Below are 26,732 nucleotides of genomic sequence, written 5' to 3'. Positions count from 1 at the left end.
GAGGTGCATGCCACCATGTCCACTAATTTTTTTTAATTTTTTTGTAAAGATGGGGTCTCACTATGTTGTCCAGGCTAGTCTCAAACTCCTGGGCTCAAGAAATCAGCCAGTCTCAGCCTCCCAAAGTTCTGGGATTACAGGCGTGAGCCACCACGCCCAGCTCCACATCTTTATTCTTAATAACATTTCCATCTACAGATCCTGGTATTTCTGGGGAAATGCTTTTTAAAATCTCACACTTAGATCTTTAAATTTCCACTTTTAACTTAACCTGAGGTGCAGGCTGGGTCAAGATTCCATTATCATTCAGGGAATCATTCTTTTAGTGGGAAGAACCTCTATTTGGGCCTCAAAGTTGTTTGCACCTCGAAGGTTATTTTGTCTGATTTTGCTAGCCCAACTTGGCTTTCTTTCTATTGGTTATTTGCTTTGCGCATTTTTTTTCCAGCTATTTTCACCTTCTCTTTGGCATTTTGTTGCAAATGCTTCTCTCGTAAATAGCATGAAACATTTTATTTGTATTTTTAGTAGAGATGGGGTTTCACCGTGTTAGCCAGGATGGTCTCGATCTCCTGACCTCGTGATCCACCCGCCTCGGCTTCCTACAGTGCTGGGATTACAGGCGTGAGCCACTGCGCCCAGCCGAAACATTTTAAATTGCATCATCTCATCTCCGTCTTTTTACAGATTTATTAAATCACTGAACATCTAACATAACTAAGGATTCACTATTCCTACTATTTTATTTTACTTTTCTTCTTTTTTAATTCCTTCCTTCTTAACTTCCATTTAGTATTCAGGTTTTTAATTTATTATTTTTTTTTATTTTTGAGACAAAGCCTGGCTCTGCCACCCAGGCGGAAGTGCAGTGGCGCAATCTCAGCTCACTGCAACCTCCACCTCTGGGGCTCAAGTGATCCTCCCACCTCAGCCTCCTGAGTAGCTGGGACTACAGGCATTCACCACAACACTTGGCTAATTTTGGTATTTAATTTTACTCTTCATTTTTTTTGTATTTAATTTTATTCTTCATTCTTCATTTTCATCCACTAGTTCAGGAGTTATATGTTCAATTTTTATTTTTAGCAGGAACACTTAACCTTAAAATGTCAAAATCCAGCAATATCTAACTACTTTTACTCAGTTCTTCCTTTCTTATCCTCTCTGTGAAGGTAGCCTCATCTTCAGAAGTTAAGTTTCACTTTGTTGTTAACACCAGTTATTATTATTTTTTTAAACAGCTAACAATCACTTAGTTTTACCGGCTTGTTTGCAATGTCTTTGGCTGGCATTGCTATTCGCATCCTGCTGTGCTATTCAGGGTGTGAATTTCTTCTTATGGCAGAGCATCATTTGGAAGATTTTTCAGCAAAATTTGCAGAGCTTCTTGTTGGAAATCTTTATGCTATCATCACTCTCCAACAGCAATTTAGCTGCATTTTCAATTCTTGCTTGATAGTGAACATTTCCTGAACAACCTATAAACACCCGTCCATTGACTTCCTGACATCTCTCATGGCAGTCAAGGAGTCTGCTGGAAGTCTGGGAGTTATTTCTTTTTGTTGTTGTTGTTGTTGAGACGGAGTCTCGCTCTGTCGCCCAGGCTGGAGTGCAGTGGGAGATCTCGGCTCACTGCAAGCTCCGCCTCCCGGGTTCACGCCATTCTCCTGCCTCAGCCTCCCAAGTAGCTGAGACTACAGGCGCCCGCCACCATGCCTGGCAAATTTTTTTTGTATTTTTTAGTAGAGACGGGGTTTCACCTGTAATGCCCAACCTGGTTTTTACTAACCTGTTTTTAGACTCTCCCTTTTCCTTTACTCACCTAGCCTTCTTTCCACCTGAATGGACTCTCCCTTAGCTAAGAGAGCCAGCCAGACTCCACCTTGGCTCTTTCACTGGCAGCCCCTTCCTCAAGGACTGAACTCGTGCAGGCTGACTCCCAGCACATCCAAGAATGCAGTTAACTGATAAGATACTGTGGCGAGCTACATCCGCAGTTCCCGGGAATTCGTCTGATTAGTAACGCCCAAAGCCCCGCGTCTATCACCTTGTAATAGTCTTAAAGCCCCTGCACCTGGAACTGTTTACTTTCCTGCAACCATTTATCCTTTTAACTTTTTGCCTACTTTACTTCTGTAAAATGGTTTTCACTAGACCCCCAGCCCTCCCCTTCCTAAACCAAGATCTAAAAGTTAATCAAGCCCCTTCCTCAGGACCGAGAGACTATTAAGCATTAGCCGTCTCTCGGTCGCTGGCTTATAAAGGACTCTTAATTTGTCTCAAAGCGTTTTTCTAACTCGCTCAGGTACAACATACCGTGTTAGCCAGGATGGTCTCGATCTCCTGACCTTGTGATCCACCCGCCTTGGCCTCCCAAAGTGCTGGGATTACAGGCGTGAGCCACTGCGCCCGGCCCCGGGAATTATTTCTTTTTCTTTTCTTTTCTTTTCTTTTTTTTTTTTTTTTTGAGACGGAATCTCACTCTGTCACCCAGGTTGGAGTGCAGTGGCATGATCTCGGCTCACTGCAACCTCCACCTCCCGGGTTCAAGTGATTCTCTTGCCTCAGCCTCCCGAGTAGCTGGGATTACAGACATGTGCCATCATGCCCAGCTAATTTTTTTATATTTAGTAGAGACCAGGTTTCACCATGTTGGCCAGGTTGGTCTCGAACCCCTGACCTCAGATGATCTGCCCACCTCGGCCTTTCAAAGCGCTGGGATTACAGGTGTGAGCCACCGCCCCCAGCCAAAGGTTACCTTTTTAATTGAAAATAAATAAATAAATTGAAGTCAAATTTACATATAATTAACCATTTAAAAGTGAATAATTCAGGGGCACTTAGAATATTCACAGTGTTGTGCAGCCATCACCTCTGTGTACTTCCAGAATGCTTTCGTTCCCCCAAAAAGAAACCTGGAATTTATCAAGCAGTCACTCTCTCTTTCCCCTCCAGCCCCTGGCAGTCACGACATTGCTTCTGGTTCTAGGGATTCACCTATTCTTGAAATTTCATCTTCATAAAAATATACATTATGTGATCATTTGTGTCTGGCTTCTTTCTCTTTGCAAAATGTTTTTGAGGCTCAACCACTTTGTAGCAATTTTCAGTGCTTCATTCCTCTTCAAGGCTAAATAATATTCCATTGTGTGAATGGACCACATTTTGTTTATCCATTCCTTCCACTGATTAACATGTGAGTTATTTCTATCTTTTAGCTATAATGAATAGTGCTGCTCTGAACATTTGTGTACACATTTTTCTTGGAACCCGTGTTTTCAATTATTTTGAGTACATACCTAGGAGTGGAATTGCTGGTTCATAGAGTAATCCTGTATTTAACTTTTGGAGGATCCACCAAAGCATTTGTTCACAGTGGCTGTACCATTTTAGACTCCCACCAGCACTGTACAAACATTCCAGTTTCATCACATCCTTGCCAACACTTGTTATTTTCCATTTTAGATTTTAGCCATCTCAGTGGGGACGAAGTGGTGCTTCACTGTGGTTGTGATTTGCATTTCCCTAATCACCACATTTTGCTTTCAATATCTGCTATCTGGTACAGTTGTTGCATCTCTTTCATATACCCCACAGTTCTGTAAAACATCCTCAACCATCCCCTCCGTAAGCATCAGTTCAAGGACGTTGCCTCAGTTTTTCCCAGCTGAAGAGACACTCACCTGAGTTTGGCTTCTTGGTGGGTTCTGTGAACAAAGAGAGAAAATAAATGCAATATGCATTGAAGATTCATTGGAAGCATGAAGAAAGGCCATGAACGCCCTGATGAAAGGTGAAAAGGGAGTGACAAAGCCATACAAAGTAAATGATATAGACACAAATTCCATGTTGAATTGAGAAAAAAGACAAGAAAACACCCTTAAAATCCATTCAAAAACAATCCACCCTTGAGGCTGTGAGGATGCCCACAGGATGGCCAAAGTAGCTGAGAACATCCAAGACAAGTAAGTGAGCCACCTGCCCGTAGAGCCACCACAGGGCTGGACGGTGGAGGGTGAGGCAGGGGGAGGCAAAAGAAAAGAAGGAGAAAGACTTGCAGCTTCCAGAATGATGGCTTATCTCACTTTCTTTCATTCATTCATTTATTCATTCAGCAAATATGTATTGCATGGATGTGGATATCAGGTCAGGAGTGCTCAGGGTGCAGCCTGTGACTGCCCTGCTTAGTGAACCTGGGTGTGCAGTGTGGATGGGCAGACGAGGGCAGGAGGAGGTTTGAGGAAGATGGCTCAAAGGAGGTGGAGTCGGCCATGGCTGGGAAAATTGGAGCTTCAGGGCTGTGCAATGGCCAGACTTCTTCCAAACAGAGGAAACACCGTATTTGAAAGCATGGTTTACATAACAGCCTAGCATTGCCTTGGTAGGAGGCGGCTGGAACACGGGTTTGTGTGTGGTGCGGACATTCACTGGGGATGCAGAGACTGCAAGAAGGAGAGCTTGAACCTCCAAACGGGGCATATGGTTTCGCATGTCCTGTATTTTAATAGAAGGTTTCTCATCACCTTTTCTCCTTCCTGCCACCTCCCTCTCCCTTCCTGCCCTCCCTTCTTCCTTCCTTCCTTCTCTCCTTCCTTCCTTCTCTCCTTCCTTCCTTCTCTCCTTCCTTCCTTCTCTCCTTCCTTCCTTCGCTCCTTCCTTCCTTCGCTCCTTCCTTCCTTCTCTCCTTCCTTCCTTCTCTCCTTCCTTCCTTCTCTCCTTCCTTCCTTCTCTCCTTCCTTCCTTCTCTCCTTCCTTCCTTCTCTCCTTCCTTCCTTCGCTCCTTCCTTCCTTCTCTCCTTCCTTCCTTCTCTCCTTCCTTCCTTCTCTCCTTCCTTCCTTCTCTCCTTCCTTCCTTCTCTCCTTCCTTCCTTCTCTCCTTCCTTCCTTCTCTCCTTCCTTCCTTCTCTCCTTCCTTCCTTCTCTCCTTCCTTCCTTCCTTCCCTCTCTCCTTTTCCCCCTTCTTCTTTCCTTCCTCCCCACCCTCCTTTCTTCCTTCCTCCCCTCCAACCTTTCTCCTCTCCCTCTCTCCTTCCTTCCCTCCGTCCTTCCCTTATTCTTTTTCTTTCTTCCTTTCTTCTCCTATTTTTCTTTCTTTCCTTCCCCCCTCCTTTCTTCCCTTCCTCCTTCATTCCTCTCCTTCTTCCTTCCTCCCCTCAGTCTTTTCTTATCTCCTCTCCTTTCTTCTTCCTTCCTTCCCTCCATCGTTCCCTCTCTTCTTCCTTTTCTTCCCTCCTTGTTTCCATCCTTTTTCCTCCCTCCCTCCCTGTTTTCCTCTGTCCTTTCATTGTTTCCTTCTTTTCTTTCTTCTCTTCCTTTTCCCTTCCTTCCTCCTCCCACCCTCCCTCCCTCTCTCCCATCCTTCCTTTCTCTGTCTCCTTTTTAAAATGTAAAATTATAACTATTTTTTAAAATAGTGATACACTCACAGAGTTTCTTAAAGCCCAGGCAGTATAGACAGTGAAAAGTGAATTCCCCACAGTCGCCATGCAGGTGACTGTGGTTCCTCTGCACTGGGGCTTCCTTCCCATGAGGAAGGGCTGTGGATGAACAGGCACATGCCTGCCCATTCATGGGGGGCTCTTGGTAGCAAAACGATGCATTCAAAGATGTGTTTGCAGGCACTGGCAGCCTTCTAGGTGAGCAATGAAAAGGTAGTAGCAGGTGAGTGGAAAATAAGTTTATTTATGTGATTTTTAAAAAATTAATGTGAAACTCACATATAAAATTTGACATTTTAAAGTGTGCAATTCAATGGTGTTTCATATATTCACAATATTGTACAATCACCACCTGTATCTAGTTCCAGAACAGTTTCATCCCCCCAAAAGGAGACCCCATAGCCACGAGCAGTCCCTCCCTTTTGTCCCCTCTTCCAGCCCAACAATCGCTAATCCACTTTCTGTCTCTCTGAATTTGCCTATTCTGGACATTTCATATTAATGGGATCCTACACCCTGTGGCCTTTTGTGCCTGGCTTGTTTCACTGAGCACAGTTTCAAGGCTCATGTAGCACGCATCAGAACCCCCTTCCTTTTTACAGCCAAATCATATTCTGTTGCCTGGAGGGACCACATTCTGTTCATTCATTCATCCCCTGATGGACAGTTGGGTTGTTTCCACCTTTGGCTTATTGTGAATATTGCTGCTGCAAACATGGGTACACAAATAACTGTTTGAGTCCCTGCTCCCAATTCTCTTGGGTATCTGTCTAGAAGTGGAACTCCTGGGTCACATGTCAGTGATCTTTCAGATCAATAACATGTCTTGTTCTGTATCTGAGCCTACCAGCCAGCCCCTCCTTCACTATTGCACAGGGTTCTCTTGCAGATATGCCTCATTCTTTATCCAGACCAAACGCTGGTGCAACACACTCAGTCTGAATTTTGGAGATAATCCCCCAATGCTTCCAAAGTGGTTGCAACCACACACCTGCCTCTAACCCCCACCCCTCAATCTGCCTTGACAGGGTAGGATTCAACCTTCACCTTTTCTAACTTCATGGGAGAAATGGCATCTCCATGTTGGGGTGAGTCATTACATTTTCCTGTTGCACTGACAACAATTTTGTATCTGCCTTTTAGGATAATTATTAGCAAAAACATCACTGTGTGCAGAAAACTGGGAGAGAGATGAGTTCCTATCATCTTGTTGTTGGCTTTTTAGGATCAGATCTGGTTATCATTCTCTCTTCCTCCAACAAACACCATTATGTAACTGCACTGGTCAACCAGTTGTTCCCAATGCTAAAGCCCAATGGATTCTTCCTCTGTGTACACAAAAGTTTATTTTTCTTTCAAAATAAATGTTTGGTTCCATTGTGCCTGCATCAGAAACCAAATCTTTCCCTTTCTCCCACCCACCGCGGTCTGAATACACCTGAATCTCAATCAGACTATCTGCCTCAAGCAGGACTTTCTGCAGGGCCCAGGACACATATTTTCAGCATTCTGGTCAGCCAGAAAGGTTCTAGCTGAACTTGGACTGATGAAAACACAGAATGGGAAGATTCCAGGTCCTCAGTGCCCTGGAGAAGAAAAACTCACAGCCCCGTCAGTGAAGGTAACCAGAGAAGTTGAGGGGAGAACGGAATGAAGTGTGCTCTGGGAGGGGAGATTGGAGGCCATGGATTGGGATCGGGGTATGGGACAATGAGGGATATGAACTGAAGTGTAAGAAAAGCAGAAACTGGGGAGATTGGAGGCCATGGATTGGGATCGGGGTGTGGGACAATGAGGGATATGAACTGAAGTGTAAGAAAAGCAGAAACTGGGCCAGGCATGTTGAGGCACGTCTGTAATCCCAGTGTTTTGAGAAACCAAGGTAGAAGGATTTCTTGAGCCCAGGGGTTCAAGACCAGCCTGGGCAACATAGTGAGAATCCGTTTCTACAAAAAAGAAAAAAGAAAAAAATTAGCTTGGCATGGGGGCACACACCTGTTGTTCCAGCTACTTGGGAGGCTGAGGTGGGAGGATCACTTGAGCCAGGAAGTCGAGGCTATGTGGTAAGCTATGATTGCACCACTGCACTCCAGTCTGGGCATCAGAACGAGACTCCCATCTCAACAAAATAAAGTAAAATAAAATAATAAAATACTAGCATATTCCTAAACCACAGGTTTAGAAGCACAGACCTACCAAGAAATGAGTCTGAGACTTTTAGAGAGTGTGTAAAGGTTTGTCTCAAGGTGTCTGCAATCTCCTGCAAAGAACAGAGATCTCAAGACCAAGAAATTCCCAACACTGGCCCAATCCAACCCCAAAGTAACTATACAGCTGATGCTGTTAGATCCAAGCTGAAAAGGGAAGGCTCCCCTTGAAATATCGGCACTTACCAGGGTCATCAAGGGCATCTGCCAAATCAAAGTCTCTTTGACCTATTGGGAGCAAACAGGGCATAAGTCACCCCATGATGGAAAGGCCAGAATCCCCCTTGTTCCTCACCTCATGCTGCTCCCCTCCTCCTGCAAGCCTAGGGTCGCCCAGAGCACTAAAACTAACCTGACCATGAGCTACATGGGAGATGCAACCACCACCTCCACCTAGTCCCAGAGCATACTCATCACCCAAAAGAAGACCCCTGTCCCCATTCAGCAGTTAGTTCCCCTCCCGCCTCCCCAGCCCCTGACAACCACTATCCACTTTCTGTCTCCATGAATTGTCTGTTCTGCAAATTTCTTATAAATAGAATTCTACAATATGTGGTATTTTGTGCCTGGCTTCTTTCATTGAGCATGATGCTCTTGAGTTGCGTTCACGTTGCAACCTGTGTCAGAGCTTCATTCCTGCTCATGGCCAGGAAACTTTGAAGGAAGCCTCTCTCCAAGCACATAGACTTCTCTCCTGGACTGTCCCACTCACAGCTTAGGACAGGCATATCCCCGCCCCCCAACGCCCCCCCCACCCCTCCACACACGCACAGAGTCTAGGTTGAGAGGGGCTGCCCTAGAAGAAGGTGAAGCACAACAATGTGAGGGTCCTGGATGCCTGAGAGACTATATGGAGCATAGGACACCTTTGCCACCTCACCTGGCTGCAACACAAACAAGAGATAAACTTTTAATTCTTTGGGGGCTGTTTGTTATAGCAGCTAGCCTACACTGACAAATACAGGGTCAGGAAGCAACCTGTGTGGACAAGCTGAGGTTCCTACCTGATCCAAAAGCAGTTAATCTAATGAATGTGTCTGCAGCAGAGAGAAGAGAACATTCACATCTTTGGGACACATCATTAAAAACACACTGCAGAATTTGTGAGGGTGAAGGGTCCCTCTTGCTGACATATATGCACACCTTGATCTTGTTCCTCACTTGCCCCTGCCAGTACTAGCCTTGTAGAGAAAACACCACCAGAGAATTTATCAGGAAGTAGAGGATGCAGCCAGGAGCACATTGAGTCAGCACTTACTATGCATTGAGTTCTGTTGCAGTAATGCCAGGCACCCAAGAGTCTCATCTGCCCACCCAAGGATGTTGGTATGACCAGCATGCATATTTCCCAAAGGAAGAAACTGAGGTTCTGGGAAGTTCAGGGCAAGGCAGGAGCAGAGTCAGAATCTACAGAATTGTCCAGGGGGGACAATCTCTCACTCAAACACTAAGCCCTGGAGGAGGCTAAGCCTGGGGGAACCAGGTGAGCCCTAGGTACTGGGTCTCCCCCGCTCTGATGTCTGTCTCCCTCCCAAAAATCGGTCTGCCTCGGTGACGCTTGCTCTGGGGGAAGGTTCAAGGGCTCCAACATAGATTCGTATAGGCTGTGGCATGGCTCCAGTCAGATGCCACCCGGGCAGGCTTTGCCGCTCCTTGTGGAGGCAATTAGGGCCTCTCCGGAGCAGAAGACGCATCCCCAGACAGGAATCCCTAAGTCAGGACAAAGTCACAAACCTTGGAGGGAAGGGGAACTCTGAGCCCAGGGTGCACACAGCAGCTGCCCCTGGGCCCAGACTGGAGGCTGGGAGCTGGCGGTGCCATCACAGGTCAAATCCCACACGGCCGTTTCTCTCAAACTCTGGGAGCCCCCACGTCCCTCTCAGATGACGTTCTCTGTTACCAGCGATCACTACAGGCTCGCCTTTAAGAACAACCCAGCAAATCTTTGCTCCATCCAGCTCTCTTCTTATTTTTTCTTTATTGTTGTTTTCTTTTTGTTTGTTTTGTTTTTAGATGGCGTCTCTCTCTGTCGCCTAGGCTGGAGTGCAGTGGCACAATCTCAGCCCACTGCAACTCCCACCTCCTGGGTTCAAACGATTCTTGTGCCTCAGCCGTCTGAGTAACTGGGATTACAGGTGCATGCCATCACGCCCAGCTAACTTTTGTATTTTCAGTAGAGACAGGGTTTCACCATGTTGGCCAGGCTGGTCTCGAACTCCTGACCTCAAGTGACCCACCTGCCTTGGCCTCCCAAAGTGCTGGGATTACAGGCGTGAGCCACCGCACCTGGCCTCCTCCAGCGCTCTTGATCATCATGGTCCAAGCTGCTCAGACTGGGCTGGGGGACAGGAACCGTGTCAGCCTCTTGGATCTGTGCAACATCTCCCCTCCAAGGCTGCCAGCAGTTCCAGTCGAGACACCTGTCCAGGACGCCAAAGTTAAGCGTCCCGGCTATGCACACACCCTGAGAATTTACATTCCAATCTGTGTTCGCCGTTGACCAATATCTTTCACTGTGTTATGTCTCCGCCCATCCCAGCAATCCCAGGCATCCCCTCAGCAACCACTTAATCTCCTCCAATCTGTGCACCCGGCCACTCCCTGCTGTTGCCCTAAATAACCAAAGGCCTCGGTGTTGTCTCTCCCCTCCCAGTCCCTCCTCTCTGAAATGCTGTTGCATAAAACAGGCAGGTGGCACGGGAGGGCTGCAGACAGCTCGTCTCATCCTGCAGCAGGAGGCCAGGTTGCAGCGGAGGCTCCTTCAGCTTTGAGATGCTCCGGATGACCCTGAGAGATGACAGGAATTGGGGGTGGGGAGGGTCACAGAGGAAGTGGAGCCTGGGGGCTTTAGGCTTTGCTTGGTTTCAGGGGTTGCACTACAGCCAGAAGTTGCTGCACGCGTGACTCACACACACGAGGCCGTTGTTGGTCACATCCAGACCTCGTTACATAAACCAGGCGGACTCCGGCCAGCATCAGACGGCCTGGGCACTGAGACAGTCTCCAGTCCCGCATGCCAGGCAGCAAATCTATCTCCCAGGCAGGGCCCCCTGTCCTCTCTCCTCTCCAGGGAAGTTGCAGCAAAGCCACGCCTGGGGTCCTCACGGGTCTGGAGTAAGACCCCTGGGCTGGGAGATGTCCCAGGTAGACAACGCTAACTCTGGGGTCTCTGTCTCCAAGGTCGGGTTGCACATGACGCCATTGCTTTCACGGGGTTTATTTTCCACTGGGAACATAAGACGGGGCAGGAACAGGAGATCTATTTCTGATTTGCTTTGCTTATAGTTAGTGAACTGAGCGGCTTTTAATCAAATCCTTGTGGTCTGGGATCCCTAAACCCCCAAGAAGAAAGCAGCCTCATTTTGTGCTGGGACTATGACAACGGTCCTCGGTTGCTGGCATCCTGGAGATGTCGATTAAGTGGCTCCTGTTGGTGGATGGGTGGGCCGAGCGTTACACATGAGCCCCCGGTAAAGCTGTGCTCGGGACCCTTCGGAGCAAAGCCATGTGATACAGCACTTTGAAGCATTCTTCTGTAGCCTGCAGTCACCAAACCCCTCTGGGACCCAAATTCCACCCCTGCCGGATTCAAAGATGCTTCTTATTGGAGTTCCCCTGCCTCCCACCCAAATTCTTTATGTTGATTCAGACCTGCACGTGGTTCAGGCTTACGAAACAATACCGCCAAGTGCAGGCCTCAGCAGCAGCCTCAGAAGCAGAAGTTTCTCTCGGAACTTCTCCAGCCCCCATGTCTCTGAGTCCCATTCTCCCCTAAGGCACCGAAGGAACTAGAATCCCTCTTCCCCAAGACGGGTCCCAGAAACAAGAACGCCTTTCCCCCCGAAGCCAGCCATAAAACCTAAAAACAGGAATCTAACTTTCCCTCTATCCTATCTGTATAAAGAGTGGCACAGGCTGGGCGCGGTGGCTCACACCTGTAATCCCAGCACTTTGGGAGGCCGAGGCAGGCGGATCACGAGGTCAGGAGATCGAGACCATCCTGGCTAACACGGTGAAACCCCGTCTCTAGTAAAAATACAAAAAAATTAGCCGGGTGTGGTGGCGGGCGCCTGTAGTCCCAGCTACTCGGGAGGCTGAGGCAGGAGAATGGCGTGAACCCGGGAGGCGGAGCTTGCAGTGAGCCGAGTTCACACCAGTACACTCCAGCCTGGGTGACAGAGCAAGAATCTGTCTTGAAAAAAAAAAAAAAAAAAAAAAAAGTGGCCATAAGGAAATTCCCTGACCTGCCTTGTTTGGGCGTCCTAAGACCCCCCATCCCAGAGAAGCTCCCAGCCCCATACCCGGAAGGAAGGAGCACTGTTCAGAGAGGCCAAGAAGAGGCCGGGTGCGGTGGCTCACGCCTGTAATCCCAGCACTTTGGGAGGCCGAGGAGGGCAGATCACAAGGTCAAGAGATCGAGACCATCCTGGCCAACATGGTGAAACCCCGTCTCTACTAAAAATACAAAACTTAGCTGAGCGTGGTGGTGCGTGCCTGTAATCCCAGCTACTCAGGAGGCTGAGGCAGGAGAATTGCTTGAACCTGGGAGGTGGAGATTGCAGTGAGCCAAGACTGTGCCACTGCACTCCAGCCTGGCAACAGAGTGAGACTCCGTCTCAAAAAAAAAGAGAGAGAGAGAGGCCAAGAAGAATCTAGACACACAGGCCTGGCTGGGTTTCCCCACTCAGGCCATTAGCATTGGATCAGGCCCTTTTTGTCCAACCCTATTTCTACACAGCTGTCCAGACTTGGATGAACCAAAGCATAAATATAGACAATCTCCCCTTGTAACTTGGGGTCTTCATTCTGAATGCTCCCGTGTATACACATTAAATACATTTGTATGTCTTTTCTCCAGTTAATAAATCTGCTTCATGTCCATGATTTTCAGTAATGCTTCAGGGGCCACGACCCCAGAAAGTCAATATAACAAACAGCAATTTTGCAAAGCAAAGAACAGTACCATTGCTCGAATAATAATGCAATGTCGAGGCCACTGCCCACTGAATATTAGCTGCCACCAGCACAGCTGCCACGCAGCACAGGAGAGCAATGGACCCACAGCAAAACCTCTGCTCCCCACTGAATTATTTACCTCGCTTTAAAGAAGAAAATCAGCTCCCAGCAGGCTCTGAGCAGAAAATGAAAAGGAACACACAGAGACTATCTAAATCCCTGACCCCAATTACAGCTATTGCCAGCAGAATTTATACACCACGGAACTGAATTAGAGCCAACTGCAATCATTACGGGACGTGCAACCACATTAGTAAATTCAGACAGGCTCTTCTGTTTCATTATTCAATCCAATGTCCTTTGATCTGCGTGCCCTGGTGAAACAAAGCCCTTTCAAGCAATTGTTTCCTTCCTTCCTTCCTTCCTTCCTTCCTTCCTTCCTTCCCTCCCTCCCTCTTTCTCTCTTTCTCTCATACAGAACCTCACTATGTTGCCCAGGCTGCAGTGCAATGGCGCAATCTCTGTTCACTGCAACCTCTGCCCCCCAGGTTCAATTGATTCTCCCGCCTGCCTCAGCCTCCTGAGTAGCTGGGATTACAGGCGCCCCCTACTATGCCCAACTAATTTTTTTTATTTTTAGTAGAGATGGGGTTTCACCATGTTGGCCAGGCTGGTCTCAAACTCCTGACCTCGTGATCCACCCACCTTGGCCTCCCAAAGTGCGGAGATTACAGGCATGAGCCGCCGTGCCTAGCCTTTTTTTTTTTTTTTTTTTTTTTTGGATAAAGAATCTCACTATGTTGCCCAGGCTGCAGTGCAATGGCGCACTCTCGGCTCACTACAACCCCTGCCTCCCTGGTTCGAGCGCTTCTAGTGCCTCAGTCTCCTGAGTAGCTGGGACTACAGGTGCATGCCACTACGCCCAGGTAATTTTTGTGTTTTTAGTAATGACGGGGTTTCACCATGTTGGCCAGGATGGTCTTGAACTCCTGGCATGAAGTGATTCACCCGCCTCGGCCTCCCAAAGTGCTGTAATTACAGGCATGAGCCACCGCCCCCGGCCTATTTTTTATTTCTTTACATCGGATTGTACTGGTTTCCTCTGAAGTGTGGGTTCATTTAAATCAACTTTCTTGGGTCAGCTGCTGCAGATGAAGCCACTTAGTGGGTACTAAGCCCATAGAGCCCTCCTCAGCTTGAGGAAGCCCACAGAGGGGAAAGTTCCGAGGTTTTACAAAGCTGGCACAGGGACCCCGAGAAGGACAAATCTTGACTTCCTTCAGGCAAATCCTAAGGTTTCTCTTTGACTCCAGTTCAGCAATTAAAAAATACCTATGTGTATATATAGAAAGCATATGATAATGGTTCTTGTGACTGAACTTGTGACCGGAAAGAGGTCTGGAATCAGACCCCAGGACAGGGTTCTTGGACCTTGCACAAGAAAGAATTTGCGGCGAGTCCATAAAATGAAAGCAAGTTTATTAGAAAAGCAGAGGAATAAAGAATGGCTCCTCCATAGACGGAGCAGCCCCGAGGGCCACTGGTTGCCCATTTGTATGGTTCTTTCTTGAGGATATGCTAAACAAGGAGTGGCCCATTCATGCCTCCTCTTTTTAGACCATATAGGGTAACTTCCTGACATTGCCGTGGCATTTGTAAACTGTCATGGTGCTGGTGGGAAGACACAAGTGAGGACCACCCGAGGTCACTCTCATCGCCATCTTGGATTTGGTAAAATTTGGCCGACTTCTTTACGGCAAGCTGTTTCATCAGCAAGGTCTTTATGACTTGTTTCTTGTGTCAACCTCCTATCTCATCCTGTGCCTTAGAATGCCTTGACCATCCGGGAATGCAGCCCGGCAGCTCTCGGCCTCATTTTACACAGCCCCTACTCAACCTGGAGTTGCCCTGGTTCGAACACCTCCCACTAACTCAACTTAGGTCCACCGGCCCTGTGCAGTAAAGCCGAACACCGCCATTGGGATTGCAGCGTGAGGAAGTGAGGCGTTTATTCCGAGCTATTTAGAGGGCATCAAGCAACCTCCTTGATGCCTCAAGACCCAACCTCCTGGGTGGCCAGTAGCTGAGGGTTTTCAATGGCAAGGAGGCAGAGGTTACAGGCAAAGCCATAATACATGCAGGCTATACATTGCTTTGATCTAAAAAGGCGGGATACCTGGAAGCAGGGGCTTAATGTGGATTCAAAGTTTCTCTGATTTGTCATTGGTTAAGGAGGCCAAGTTTGTCTGAGCATTTGGGGTCAGCAGAAATCAATGTTAGTTGTGGCCATTGGTGTGACTTCCTCCAGCACGTCCCCTCACCCCCCTTCCACCCCCCTCCCACCGCCACATGCCCCAGGGAAGGAATTTAGAACAAACATTTGTAATGAGAATTCAGGCCTCAGTTTCTCTTACCCAACGTCTATGAGCCAGCAGATGGCATTTTTTATTTGGTGGGGGTCTGGGTTCCTGAAAATCAACTCAGGGCCATATAGTAAGATGTTATCTTGGCTGGGCATGGTGGCTCACACCCGCAATCCCAGCACTTTGGGAGGCCAGGGCAGGCAGATTACCTGAGGTCAGGAGTTCCAGACCAGACTGGCCAACATGGGGAAGCCCTGTGTCTACTAAAAATACAAAAATGTGGGCGTGGTGGTGTGCACCTGTAGTCCCAGCTACTTGGGAGGCTGATGCATGAGAATCACTTGAACCCAGGAGGTGCTGGAGGTTGCACTGAGCCAAGATTGCACCACTACACTGCAACCTGGGTGACAGAGCAAGACTCCATCTCAAAAAAGGATGTTATCTTTAGTCTTTACAGGAAACTAAACATATTGAGGCTCTAACTTCCTTGGCTATTGTTCTACACTACAATCACCTTCTTGCTTATCAAGCTGCTCCATGTACTTCTCAAGGCCAGCGAGGTGCCTGGAATTTCCCTTGAAGGAACTCAAGGTTTTCCTTTATTTCCATGCTAGGGAGAGTGCCTGGCAGGCCCCTAAGAGGGTTGTCCTTGCTCCATCTCACTCTCTCCCAGGACGGCATGATTCACAGAGTAAAAAAAATTAAATCATATGACTAGGTTAGGACCGTAGGTTGCAACAGAAAGTGACAAGGAAGGCTGCTGCCCCAATGGGGAATCTTATTCCCGGGGGGCTTGTTTGCCAAGGGCTGAATTCTACTTTAGCCCCATGGATAAGATGAAATCCATTCTGTTCTCTAATTGGTTAAGAAGTTTATATTTCCAGCAGGACAGGAAATCAAACACAGCTGGAGTCTCCTCCTCCACACCTCAACATGAATATCCAGGGACTCCCTAATGCTCAAGCTCACCGGGGCTGCAGACACCAGAGCTGAGCAGGCCGCCCTGGTGCATGATCTGCTCCTCGGAACCCATGAACCCTCCACGGTCTCAGCATCCAAGCAGCCCAGCCTCTCCCCAGAAGGTCAACCAACTGGCCCCGTTCTTGACTTCCCAGTGACCATATTATGCAGTTGCAGATTGAAGCTCTATTAGAGCAGACATTGGTAATGAGAATTCAGGCCTCAGTGTCTGTCTGTAACACAACAGACGGTGTCTGCAGAGATCGAAGTATTTTGTCGTCGAAGAGGAAGGAATGATCATTCATCACAAAAAGCAAGACATCTTTGGTGCAAGGAAAACTCGAGGAAAATACCGCAGACCATGCAATGAGGCACTGGTTGACGGTGTGTTATAAACCCGTCTTCCCAGAGTGGCATGCACACGGATCCCTCAGGACATGGGTGACACACAGACTATGCTTCAGCAGGTCTGTCTGGGCCCAAGACACAGTGTTTCTCATCAGCTCCCAGGGGATGTCAAGGCTGCAGATCCATGGATCTCACTTTGCAGGACAGAGACTTGGTAATGGCTTCCCAGAGTTGTTACAATGCAATCCCAAAGACTGGGCAGCTTAAACAACAACCTTGATTCTCCCACAGTCCTGGAAGCTGGAAGTCTGAGATCAAGGTGTGGGCAGGGCCGGTTCCTCCTGAGTCCTCTCTCCTGGGCTTGTAGATGCCGTCTTCTCCCTGAGTCCCCACGTGGTCATCCCTCTGTGTGCGTCTGTGTCCTCATCTCCTCTTCTTATGAGGTGTCTTAGTCCATTTCAGGCTGCTGTCACAGCATACCATAGACTGGGTGGCTTATAAGCAACAGACATTGATTCTCCCACAGCCCTGGAGGCTGGACGTCTTGAGATCAGGATATGGGCAAGGCTGTTTCCTCCTGAGGCCTCTGTCCTGGGCTTGTAGACACCATCTTCTCCCTGTGTCCCCACGTGGTCATCCCTCTATGTGCATGTCTGTGTCCTCATCTGCTCTTCTTATGAGATGTCTTAGTCCATTGCAGGCTGCTATCACAGAATACCATAGGCTGGGTGGCTTACAAACCACAGACTTTTATTCTCCCACAGTCCTGGAGGCTGGAATTCTGAGATCAAGGCATGGGCAGAGCTGGTTCCTCCTGAGGCCTCTCTTCTTGACTTGTAGACACCCTCTTCTCCCTGTGTCTTTACAGGGTCATCCCTCTGTGTGTGTCTGTGTCCTTATCTACTCTTTTTATAAGGACCCCAGTCCTATTGGATCAGGGCACAACCTCCTGAGCTCATTGTACCCTTCTCACCTCTTTAAAGACCCCATCACCAAACACAGTCATGTTCTGAGGTCCTAGGGATTAGGCCTTCAATATATAAATTTTGGAGACGCACAATTCAACCCTTACAGAGGTAACTCATTCATTGGAATACAAATGTGTTTGTCCACTGTGGCTGCTGCCATAGCAAAGTCCCACAGACCAGGCTGTTTAAACAGTGGACATTGATTCTCCCACAGGCCTGGAAGCTGGAAGTCTGAGATCAAGGTGTGGGCAGGGCTGGTTCCTACTGAGACCTCTCTCCTTGGCTTGTGGATGCCATCTTTTCCCTAAGTCCTCACAGGATCGTCCCTGTGTGCATGTCTGTGTCTTCATCTCGTCTTTTTATAAGGTCTGCAGTCCTGTTGGATCAGGGCCCAACCTAGTGACCTCATTTTGCCTGAATCACCTCTTTTTTTTTTTTTTTTTTTTTTGAGACAGAGCCTCGCTCTGTCGCCCAGGCTGGAGTGCAGTAGTGCGATCTCGGCTCACTGCAACCTCCACCTCCCAGGTTCAAGCGATTCTCCTGCCTCAGCCTCCCAAGTAGCTGGGACTACAGGCACGCCCAGCTAATTTTTTTTTTTTTTTTGTATTTTTAGTAGAGATGGGGTTTCACCGTGTTAGCCAGGATGATCTCCATCTCCTGACCTCATGATCTGCCAGCCTCAGCCTCCCAAAGTGCTGGGATTACAGGCATGAGCCACCGCACCCAGCCTGAATCACCTCTTTAAAGACCCCATCTCCAAACACAGTCACAATTGGAGGTCCTGCAGGTTAGGACTTCCATTTGTAAAATTGAGGAGGGTACAATTTGGCTCACAACAGATTTAAACCATGGAACATGGTCAATTACAATGGGGATGCCATTGGACAGCCTGGTTCAGTGGAGATAACCAGGGTTTGGGAATCTAGAGAGACAGTTTCATCTCAGCAACATCACGCGCCTGGCCTACGCTCTCAATAATACTCTTCCTTAATTTTTTTTTTCTGAGACAGAGTCTCGCTCTGTTGCCCAGGCTGGAGTGCAGTGGTGCAATCTCAGCTCACTGCAGTGCAATGGCACAATCTCAGCTCACTGCAACCTCTGCCTCCCAGGTTCAAGCAGTTCTCTCACCTCAGCCTCCCGAGTAGCTGGGATTACAGGCACACGCCTCCATGCCTGGATCAGACCAGAATCCAGCCACATGCAGATTCCAGATCAGCCCAGAATCTGATTCTGAAGCATTCCCAGAGGTTGGGATTCACAGACTACAGCAGAGTTTCCCAGCCTCAGCACCGTGGCTGCACACATCGCTCACAGGTTTAGGTGCCTCTGGCCCCTGATCCATCGGGGGAATCCCCAGGAGCTTTGCCGTGTCTGGCAGAGCCCCACCTGCAGGCAGAACCCCACTTTTCTACCCCCTGTGTGCCAATGAGAAAGAGGAAAATGGCTGGAATGAGGGGGGCCCTCACAGGAAGGGTCAGTTGTTATCCAAGAAAGGGGAGACATTTCTTGGACTCCGTGCTTGTCTGCTAATTGGCTCCAATATTTGCCAGATGTCTTCACACTCAGGTGCCAAACAGCCATAGACTTTTTCTGCACAGCCCCTTCCTACTCCAAGAAGGAAACTATGGAATGCTCAGCTTCTGGGTTATATGTGCCATGGCTCTATGCCCTATGGGGAAAAGATCCTACAAGTGCATTCTGACAGTAAGATCCATTTAGAAATGCCCAGACAACTATACCGTACCTCCTATACTGTACAGGACAACTATACCTCCAGACAACTATACCTCCAGACAACTATACCTCCTACAGCGTACAGGAGCATGACATTTCCAACCTGTCCCCTTTCGCAGGGTTAGAAGTTATAACTAACAGCAGGTTCTCCACTACAGCACTAATGACACTTGGGGCTGCGTAACTCTCTGTCATGGGTGCTGTCCTGTGCACTGTAAGGTGTTGAACAACATGCCTTGTCTCCACCCACCGAATGCGAGAACACCCATCCCAGTGCAACTACCAAAATTGTTTCCAGACATTGCCAAGTGTTACTCGAGGAACACAATTATCCCTGGGTAGCAGAAGAATGTCACAGATAGATGATGGACTGCTAGATAAATAGATAGATTGATAGACGGATGGATAGATAGATACATAGATAGATACATAGATACATAGATAGGTAATAGAGATGAGAGTTGGATAGAGAAGTAGGTAGAAAGATAGATAAATAGATAGATAATAGATGACAGAAAATCATTGACAGATAGATTAGGTAGATGATAGGTGTATATAATAGAGACAGATAGGTGGATGGATAATGGTAGACGATAGATAGATCTAGAGATAGGCAGACAGACAGACAGGATCTCTCATGCTAAGGCAAGATTCCTCAGCCTCAGTCCTACTGACATATGAGGTTGGATCATTCTTTTCTGTGGGGCGTCCTGTGCACTGCAGGGTGTTGACCAGCATCCCTGGGCTCCACCCACTAGATGCCAGCAGCATCCCTGCTATCAGTGTGGCAACGCAAAGCCTCAAGATATCGACAAGTGTCCCTGTGGATAAACATGATCCCTGGTTGAGAATGGCTGGATGGCAGCACCTGTATCTGGGGGTGTCACCTTGGGCCTGCATAGAGTGAATGACACATCACCGAATTGGAGAGCACAGAGCTGCCTCCCCACTGTGGCAGTGATCCATGAGACTCCACGCAAAGGTAACCACACGGTTGCACACGGAGTCATCATCTCTTAAAAGAAGCACATAGCTCCGCTTGGGCATCACCTGGGGTGCTTCTTAAAATGCAGGTCTCCCAGCTCCCAAATGCCTGACCCACACCTGCTGAATAAAGACCTCAGTGGGTGGGGACTGGGTGGCGCTTTTAATACCTCCTCCCTTCAAGGTGATGACCTGCACATCAAAGACAGAGAATCACTGCACGAAATGGCTACACGCTCCAGGTGACAATGGCAGGGAAATGACCCATTTGTGGTTCCCTTTCCACACCTACAAATTTGCTAGATCCTTTGCAGGGAAGGAGGGGGCAGGGAGAGAGGGGGCACCAGAATGGAAGCAAGTCAAGAAAAATATAACTGAGACGTAGGATGAGGCTGGCGTGGTTTGGGGTTCTGTACGCTGGCGTGGTATGGCTTCTCACCTTAGGCGATCATCATAACTTTTTTTTCCTTTTTTTTTTTTTTTTTTTTTTTTTGAGATGGAGTCTTACTCTGTCACCCAGGCTGGAGTGCAGTGGTATGATCTCAGCTGATTGCAACCTCCGCCTCCTGGGTTCAAGCGATTCTCCTGTCTCAGCCTCCTGAATAGCTGGGATTACAGACACCCCCCACCATGCCTGGCTAATTTTTGTATTTTTAGTAGAAACAGCGTTCTGCCATGTTGGCCAGGCTGGTCTCAAACTCCTGACCTCAAGTGATCTGCCCAACTCGGCCTCCCAAACTGCTGGGATTACAAACATGAGCCACTGTGCCCGGCCCACAACTTCCCCATATCCCAATTTTTAGAAGTAAACTAAACAGCCTGTGACAACCTAATGCAGCAAGTAATGAAAAATACTTGGCACAATCCTCACTTACCTTTACTCAACAGGAAGTACTCAGAAATATGATTTGCTACTGTTCAGAGCTCTGAGTGATCTTTTTCATAAGTCTTTTTTAGTCTTTACATAGAAACACAGCTCTATACAAATGCACACACATTTTAAGTCATGTTGATACGGACAGGAGGCCTGAAGATACTAGATACAAGAGGGCAGTTCCCCAGCAAAGGCCCCGCCCTCAAGCCTGGAAACCTGTAGTCCTAAATGGAAACAGGCATTCCTATTTTTGTGCCCAAATGTTGCCTTTTGACCCACCATGCCTGCCTGTCCTGTACCCATATAACCCCAAACCCCAGACCCCATGTGCAGACAGACAGATGAGCAGAAAAGGTGAGGAACCAAAGAGCAGCACAGCAGAGAAGGAGAGAAGAGAAGGAACATCTGAACACTGAGAGGTGTTCAGCTGGGGATGGTTGGAGAAGAGATTAGCCGCAGGACAACCAAACTCCAGGGGAAGATCATCTGCCCACTCCATCCCCTTTCCAACTCCCCAACCATCCCGCTAAGAGTCATCTCCATCTGGCAACAAACTCTTCTGCATTTACCATCCTTCAGCTGGTTCGTGTGACCTGATTCTTCCTGGATGCTGGACAAGAACCCGGGTACCAAGACGGCACTGAGCTGGCTAACACTTAAGCCACGTGCGGATGGCAGAGCTAAAAGAGCACCGTAAAACGCCCACTAGGGCTTCGGGGGTCGCAGGCACCCATCCCTAGATGCTACCGTGGGGCCCAGAGCTCAAAAACACTCACACTAGCTGCTGCACCTGCCCGTCTGCAAGTTCTGCCTCCCATAAGAGGTTTCAGTGTGTGGCGGTCAAACAGATCAAACACACCCCTGTTGCACATCCTGTGAGGGGGCGTCAGGGAACTCTCAGGTTTCAAATCTGATAAGGGAATAATGTACAATAGACTTGGAAGAGACTGTCTTAGCTGGTGTATATCCTGGACATATATCCTTTTCTTTTAATTTATTTTTAATTGATGCATAACAGATGTACATAGCTTCAGGGTACATGTAATAATTTAATACATTTATATAATTTGTAAAGATCAAATCAGCCTACTTGGGATATCCATCCACCTTAAATATTTGTCTTTCCTTCATATTAGAACCATTCCGACTCTTCTATTTTGAAGTCTACAATAGATTATTGTAAACTAAAGTCACCCTACTGATTATGTAAACACTAGTGCTTATTTCTTCTATCGAACTCTGTCATTTTCTTTTTTTTCCCCTCAATAAATGACATTTCATACACTGCCCTTTGGGGTTTCCACTTCTGGTTCTCAGCTTCTTCTCAGCTGTTAGAAGACCTGATTTTGTCTCGTGCTCCTTCATGCCCCTCTGGATTGGACGGCAAATACTAATTAAATACAGTGGAAATGTAGGGCTGCTAAAATGTCAACCTCTATTAGGAATATGGCCGTCTTGCTATTATCTTCTTTTGTATTGATAATTTAGTAATCATCATAATGATTTACAGCATATTAACCATTAACAATATTCTGTCTTCTTTATTTTATTTTAAGTTCCGGGATACGTGTGCAGGACGTGCAGGTTTGTTACATAGGTAAACATGTGCCATGGTGGTTTGCTGCACCCATCAACCCGTCACAGAGGCATTAAGCCCCACATGCATTAGCTATTGATCCTGAACAATAATCTGTTTTCTTAAGTACTTCATAGCAATCATCGCACCAGCCTTGCAGAATGTTTTTGGGATCTTGGGAATGTGCCCCATTTCCAGCTGGTGATGGCTGGGGATGAAACAGGGTCGTCTGTGCATTTAACTAATTTTTACCCAGGACATACCCAGCTGCTGCATGTACATCATCTTATTTACACAGAAGGGCCCTGATCCAGACCTCACTTTCCTTCCAGTCCCTCCTGTAACCTCCCTAAGGGGCGCTACTTGTGTCAGAGGCACTGGAACCAGAGCGACTCCATCTTGAATAGGGGCTGGGCAATAGAAGGCTGAAACCTACTGGGCTGCATTCCCAGATGATTAAGGCATTCTGAGTCACAGGATGAGACTGAAGGTCTGCACAAGATACAGGTCATAAAGACCTAGCTGATAAAACAGGTGGTAGTAAAGAAGCCGGCCAGAACCCACCAAAACCCAGATGGTGATGAGAGTGGCCTCTGGTTGTCCTCAGTGTTACCCTCCCACCAGCACCATGACAATTACAAATACCACGGCAATGTCAGGAACTCTGCATGGTCTAAAAAGGGGAGGCATGAATAATCCAAGCCTTGCTTAGCATATCACTAAGAAATAACCATAAAAATGGGCAAGCAGTAGCTCTAAGAGCTGCTCTGCGGAATAGCCATTCTTTTATTCCTTTACTTTCCTAATAAACTTGTTTTCAGTTTACAGACTAGCCCTGAATTCTTTATGGAGCGAGATCCAAGAACCCCGTCTTGGCGTCTGGATCCGGACCCCTTTCCTGTAACACTTGGAGGAGGGATGATTCTGATTTTCAGAAGACAAGGCTTGGGATAGAGCGGGATGCTCACTGGAGTCTTCCCAGACAGAGCTACAGGACAGCTCAGATTCCGCTGCCGGCTGCCCCCGTCCAAATCCTCAGTGCCTCAGTTTACCCATATCTGTGACGGTTAATACTGAATGTCAACTTGATTGGATTGAAGGATACAAAGTATTGATCCTGGGTGTGTCTGTGAGGGTGTTGCCAAAGGAGATTAACATTTGAGTCAGTGGACTGGAAGGGGCGGACCCACCCTCAATTTGGGTGGGCACCATCTAATCAGCTGCCGCTGTGGCTAGAATATAAGCAGGCAGAAAAATGTGAAAAGAGACACTGGCCTAGTCTTCTGGCCTACATCTTTCTCCCATGGTGGATGCTGGAACATCAGACTCCAAGTTCTTCAGTTTTGGAACCTGGACTGGCTCTCCTTGCTCCTCAGCCTGCAGACGGCCTGTTGTGGGACCTTGTGATCATATGAGTTAATACTTAATAAACTCCTCTCTCTATATATATTTCTATTGCATTAGTTCTGTCCCTCTAGAGAACCCTGACTAATACACCATCTGTAAAATGACATCAGGCACGACACTCCCGTCATAGGGCTGAGGGACAATCAACTAAGTTAATCCATGCCTAGTGCATAGGAAGTGCTGCCGTCAGTCAAAGAATTTAGCGCAGGACAGGGTATGGTGGCTGATGCCTGTAATCTCAAGATTTGGGGAGGCCAAGGCAGGAGGATCGTTTGAGCTGAGATGTTCAAGTCCAGCCTGGACAACATAGTGAGATCCCGTCTCTACAAAAAGTTTTAAAAACTAGTCAGGCACAGCGGCAAATGCCTGTAGTCCCAGCTACTCTGGAGGCTGAGGTGGGAGGTTTGTTCGAACCCCTGGGGTGAAGACTGCAGTGAGCTATGATGGAACCACCGCACTCCAGTCTAGGTGACACAGTGGGCCCCTCCCTCAAAAAAATTAAAACACATTAAAAAAAAGAAAATATTTTATGTTGTAAGTGCATTTAATACAACTACCCTACCAAACGCCATAGCTTAGCCTTACCTGCCTTCAGAGTGCTCAGAACACTTTTCATCAGCCAACGGATGGACAAATCATCTAGCACACAGTCAACTTTATAATGAGGTGTTGCATACCTCACATAATTTATTGAACATTGTACTGAAAGTGAAAAACAGAATGGCTGTATGGGGCCGGGCATGGTGGCTCACATTTATAATCCCAGCACTTTGGGAGGCCGGTGGATCACCAGAGGTCAAGATTCAAGACCAGCCTGGCCAACATGGTGAAACCCAGTCTCTACTAAAAATAGAAAAATTAGCTGGGTGTGGTGGTGGGCACCTATAATCCCAGCTACTTGAGATGCTGAGGCAGGAGAATTGCTTGAACGTAGGAGGTGGAGGTTGCAGTGAGCTCAGATTGTGTCACTGCACTCCAGCCTGGGCAACAGAATGAAACGACACGACATCTCAAAAAAAAAAAAGAAAAGTTGTATGGGTACTCAAAGTACAGTTTTCGTTTGTACTGAATGCATACCAATTTTACACCGTTGTAAAGTTGAAAAATCTTAAATTGAACCATCATGTCAAACCATGGTAAGTTGGGAACTGTCTGTATCCGCACTTTGTAGAAGTTGATTTGCCCAAGGGGATATGGTTAACCTTTGGCTCTTACTGTGAATGATACAAACTCCTGGAAGTACTTTTCTGGGGAGGTGGGTTTACTGTTGAACATCTCCCTGTAAACAGAAGCTAATGAATGCATGGCCACATTGTCCACTTACTAGGTGAGATCTGAAGACAGCACAGAATAATAAAAAATTCTCACTGCAGATCCTAGACTATGTCCACCAGGATCTATCCATCCCGACACCGCCTCCGCCCATAAACAACCAACTCCAATCTTAATGACGTCCATGTCTTTAAATAGGATAAACAGGAAATGCTGCCACAGGGACATCTGAATGATGTGTTTTAACTCCTAACAGAAATACTTCTCTCTCTTAAGATGCGCCCAGGTGTTCCCTTCTCTGAAATCGCCACATGAAAATGACCAAAGAAACTTACTCAACCGTTGTTCAAATCCTGTACTTTATGAGTTCATTGGAGTTTCTTAAAGAGGTCCTCGTACGGAACTGAAAAATCTAATCTTGGATCTGGGACAGCCAGCCTGCAAGTTTATATCGAAGTTTTTGATGTGAACAATTCAGGTGGTTTTAATTTGCAAGAATGAATGACAGTGTTTAGGAAAAGATTTAAAAATCTGAATAAATGCAACCCTTCCGGCAAACGAATCTCTGGTAATCTGCCCCACGGGATGAAGTAGTTTCAACTCTACTTTTACTGTATGGAAATGGTCAGAACTAATTTTTAAAATCAGAAAGAAATGACTGACATTCCACACACACCCAGTCATGCTTGAATCATGGAGTTAAATAGGTCATTTTTTAAACGCTTGGGACACATGGATCAAAACAGGAAAATATGGCGAATATCTAGATGGTATCAGCTAACATCCTGCCCTTCTGGATCTAATTCCCAGATTCCAAATGGGAGCAGCCCGTCTTCTCCCTCCCCTCTCAGCCACCCATCGCTCTTAGTCTCCTTTCTAATCCCATTGGGCAAATTATCCCCATTCACTTCATAGCAACTCCTTTGGAAAGAGTTTCTTAAAGCAAGAATAGAAAAATCCATGCCCAGGCAGATCTCCCTCAAAGCAAAATGCCTCTTACCTCGGGCGTGCATTAGAAAACACAGGAACGCAAGACAGGGAAGTCCCCACCAGCTCTCCATGGTTTGCTTCAGGATGCAAGAACCTCAGTGGACTCCCCAGCCAAGCGGATTGTGAGACCCGGCCTCTCCACCCTCCTGTTGTTGACTTCTGGTCTCCCAGCTTGGAAGGAAGGGAGGCGATGTCTTCAAGTGGAAAATATGAGCGGAACTGCCAGAAACAAATGGGCTCCAAGCTCAGATCCCAAACTCCACAGCTGAAAACCTGTGGGACCAGTGTAGGCACACTCAGTCGTGTGTCGGAGCCAGCCTCCCCGGGCTGCCCCAACCAATCTGCAGCAGCACAGACGATGGGGAAACTGGGGTGGTTCCCAAGCACCAATGGGCATCTCAGGCTTCTGGAAGCCGGCACACTTGCTTGGCAACTCTGCTCGCTGCGGGTGTGGGAGCTGTAGCAAGTTCAAAGTCACCAACCCAGAAACCAGAGAAGACACTGGCCGCCTGTAATCTTCCTCCTGCAGGACATGATTGTACAGTGATACCCAGTGTGGGGTTAATGTACACATCAGTGCAAAGACCTCAGTTGAAGTCTTGGCTTTTATACCTAACAAACTCAGTGACTTCCAAGAGGCATTTTTTATCCTCAG

The 26,732-nt window shown here is 47.5% G+C and overlaps 1 pseudogene across 1 annotated transcript; it reads right to left on the bottom strand.

Annotated features, from left to right (window-relative positions):
- Positions 1–3,426: 3,426 nt before the first annotated feature.
- Positions 3,427–26,127, bottom strand: XGY2 (XG Y-linked 2 (pseudogene); annotated as a pseudogene). The gene is made up of 3 exons (NR_003254.2): positions 26,088–26,127; positions 7,832–7,873; positions 3,427–3,707 (listed from the first exon to the last, which is right to left on the bottom strand). The product of NR_003254.2 is annotated as an XG Y-linked 2 (pseudogene) (transcript).
- Between the last annotated feature and the right edge of the window lie 605 nt (positions 26,128–26,732).

This window comes from Homo sapiens, chromosome Y, assembly GCF_000001405.40.
Source record: "Homo sapiens chromosome Y, GRCh38.p14 Primary Assembly".
NCBI lineage: Eukaryota > Metazoa > Chordata > Mammalia > Primates > Hominidae > Homo > Homo sapiens.
Note: the sequence above shows the minus strand (reverse complement) of the source record. Positions and strands in the feature narration are given on the sequence as shown.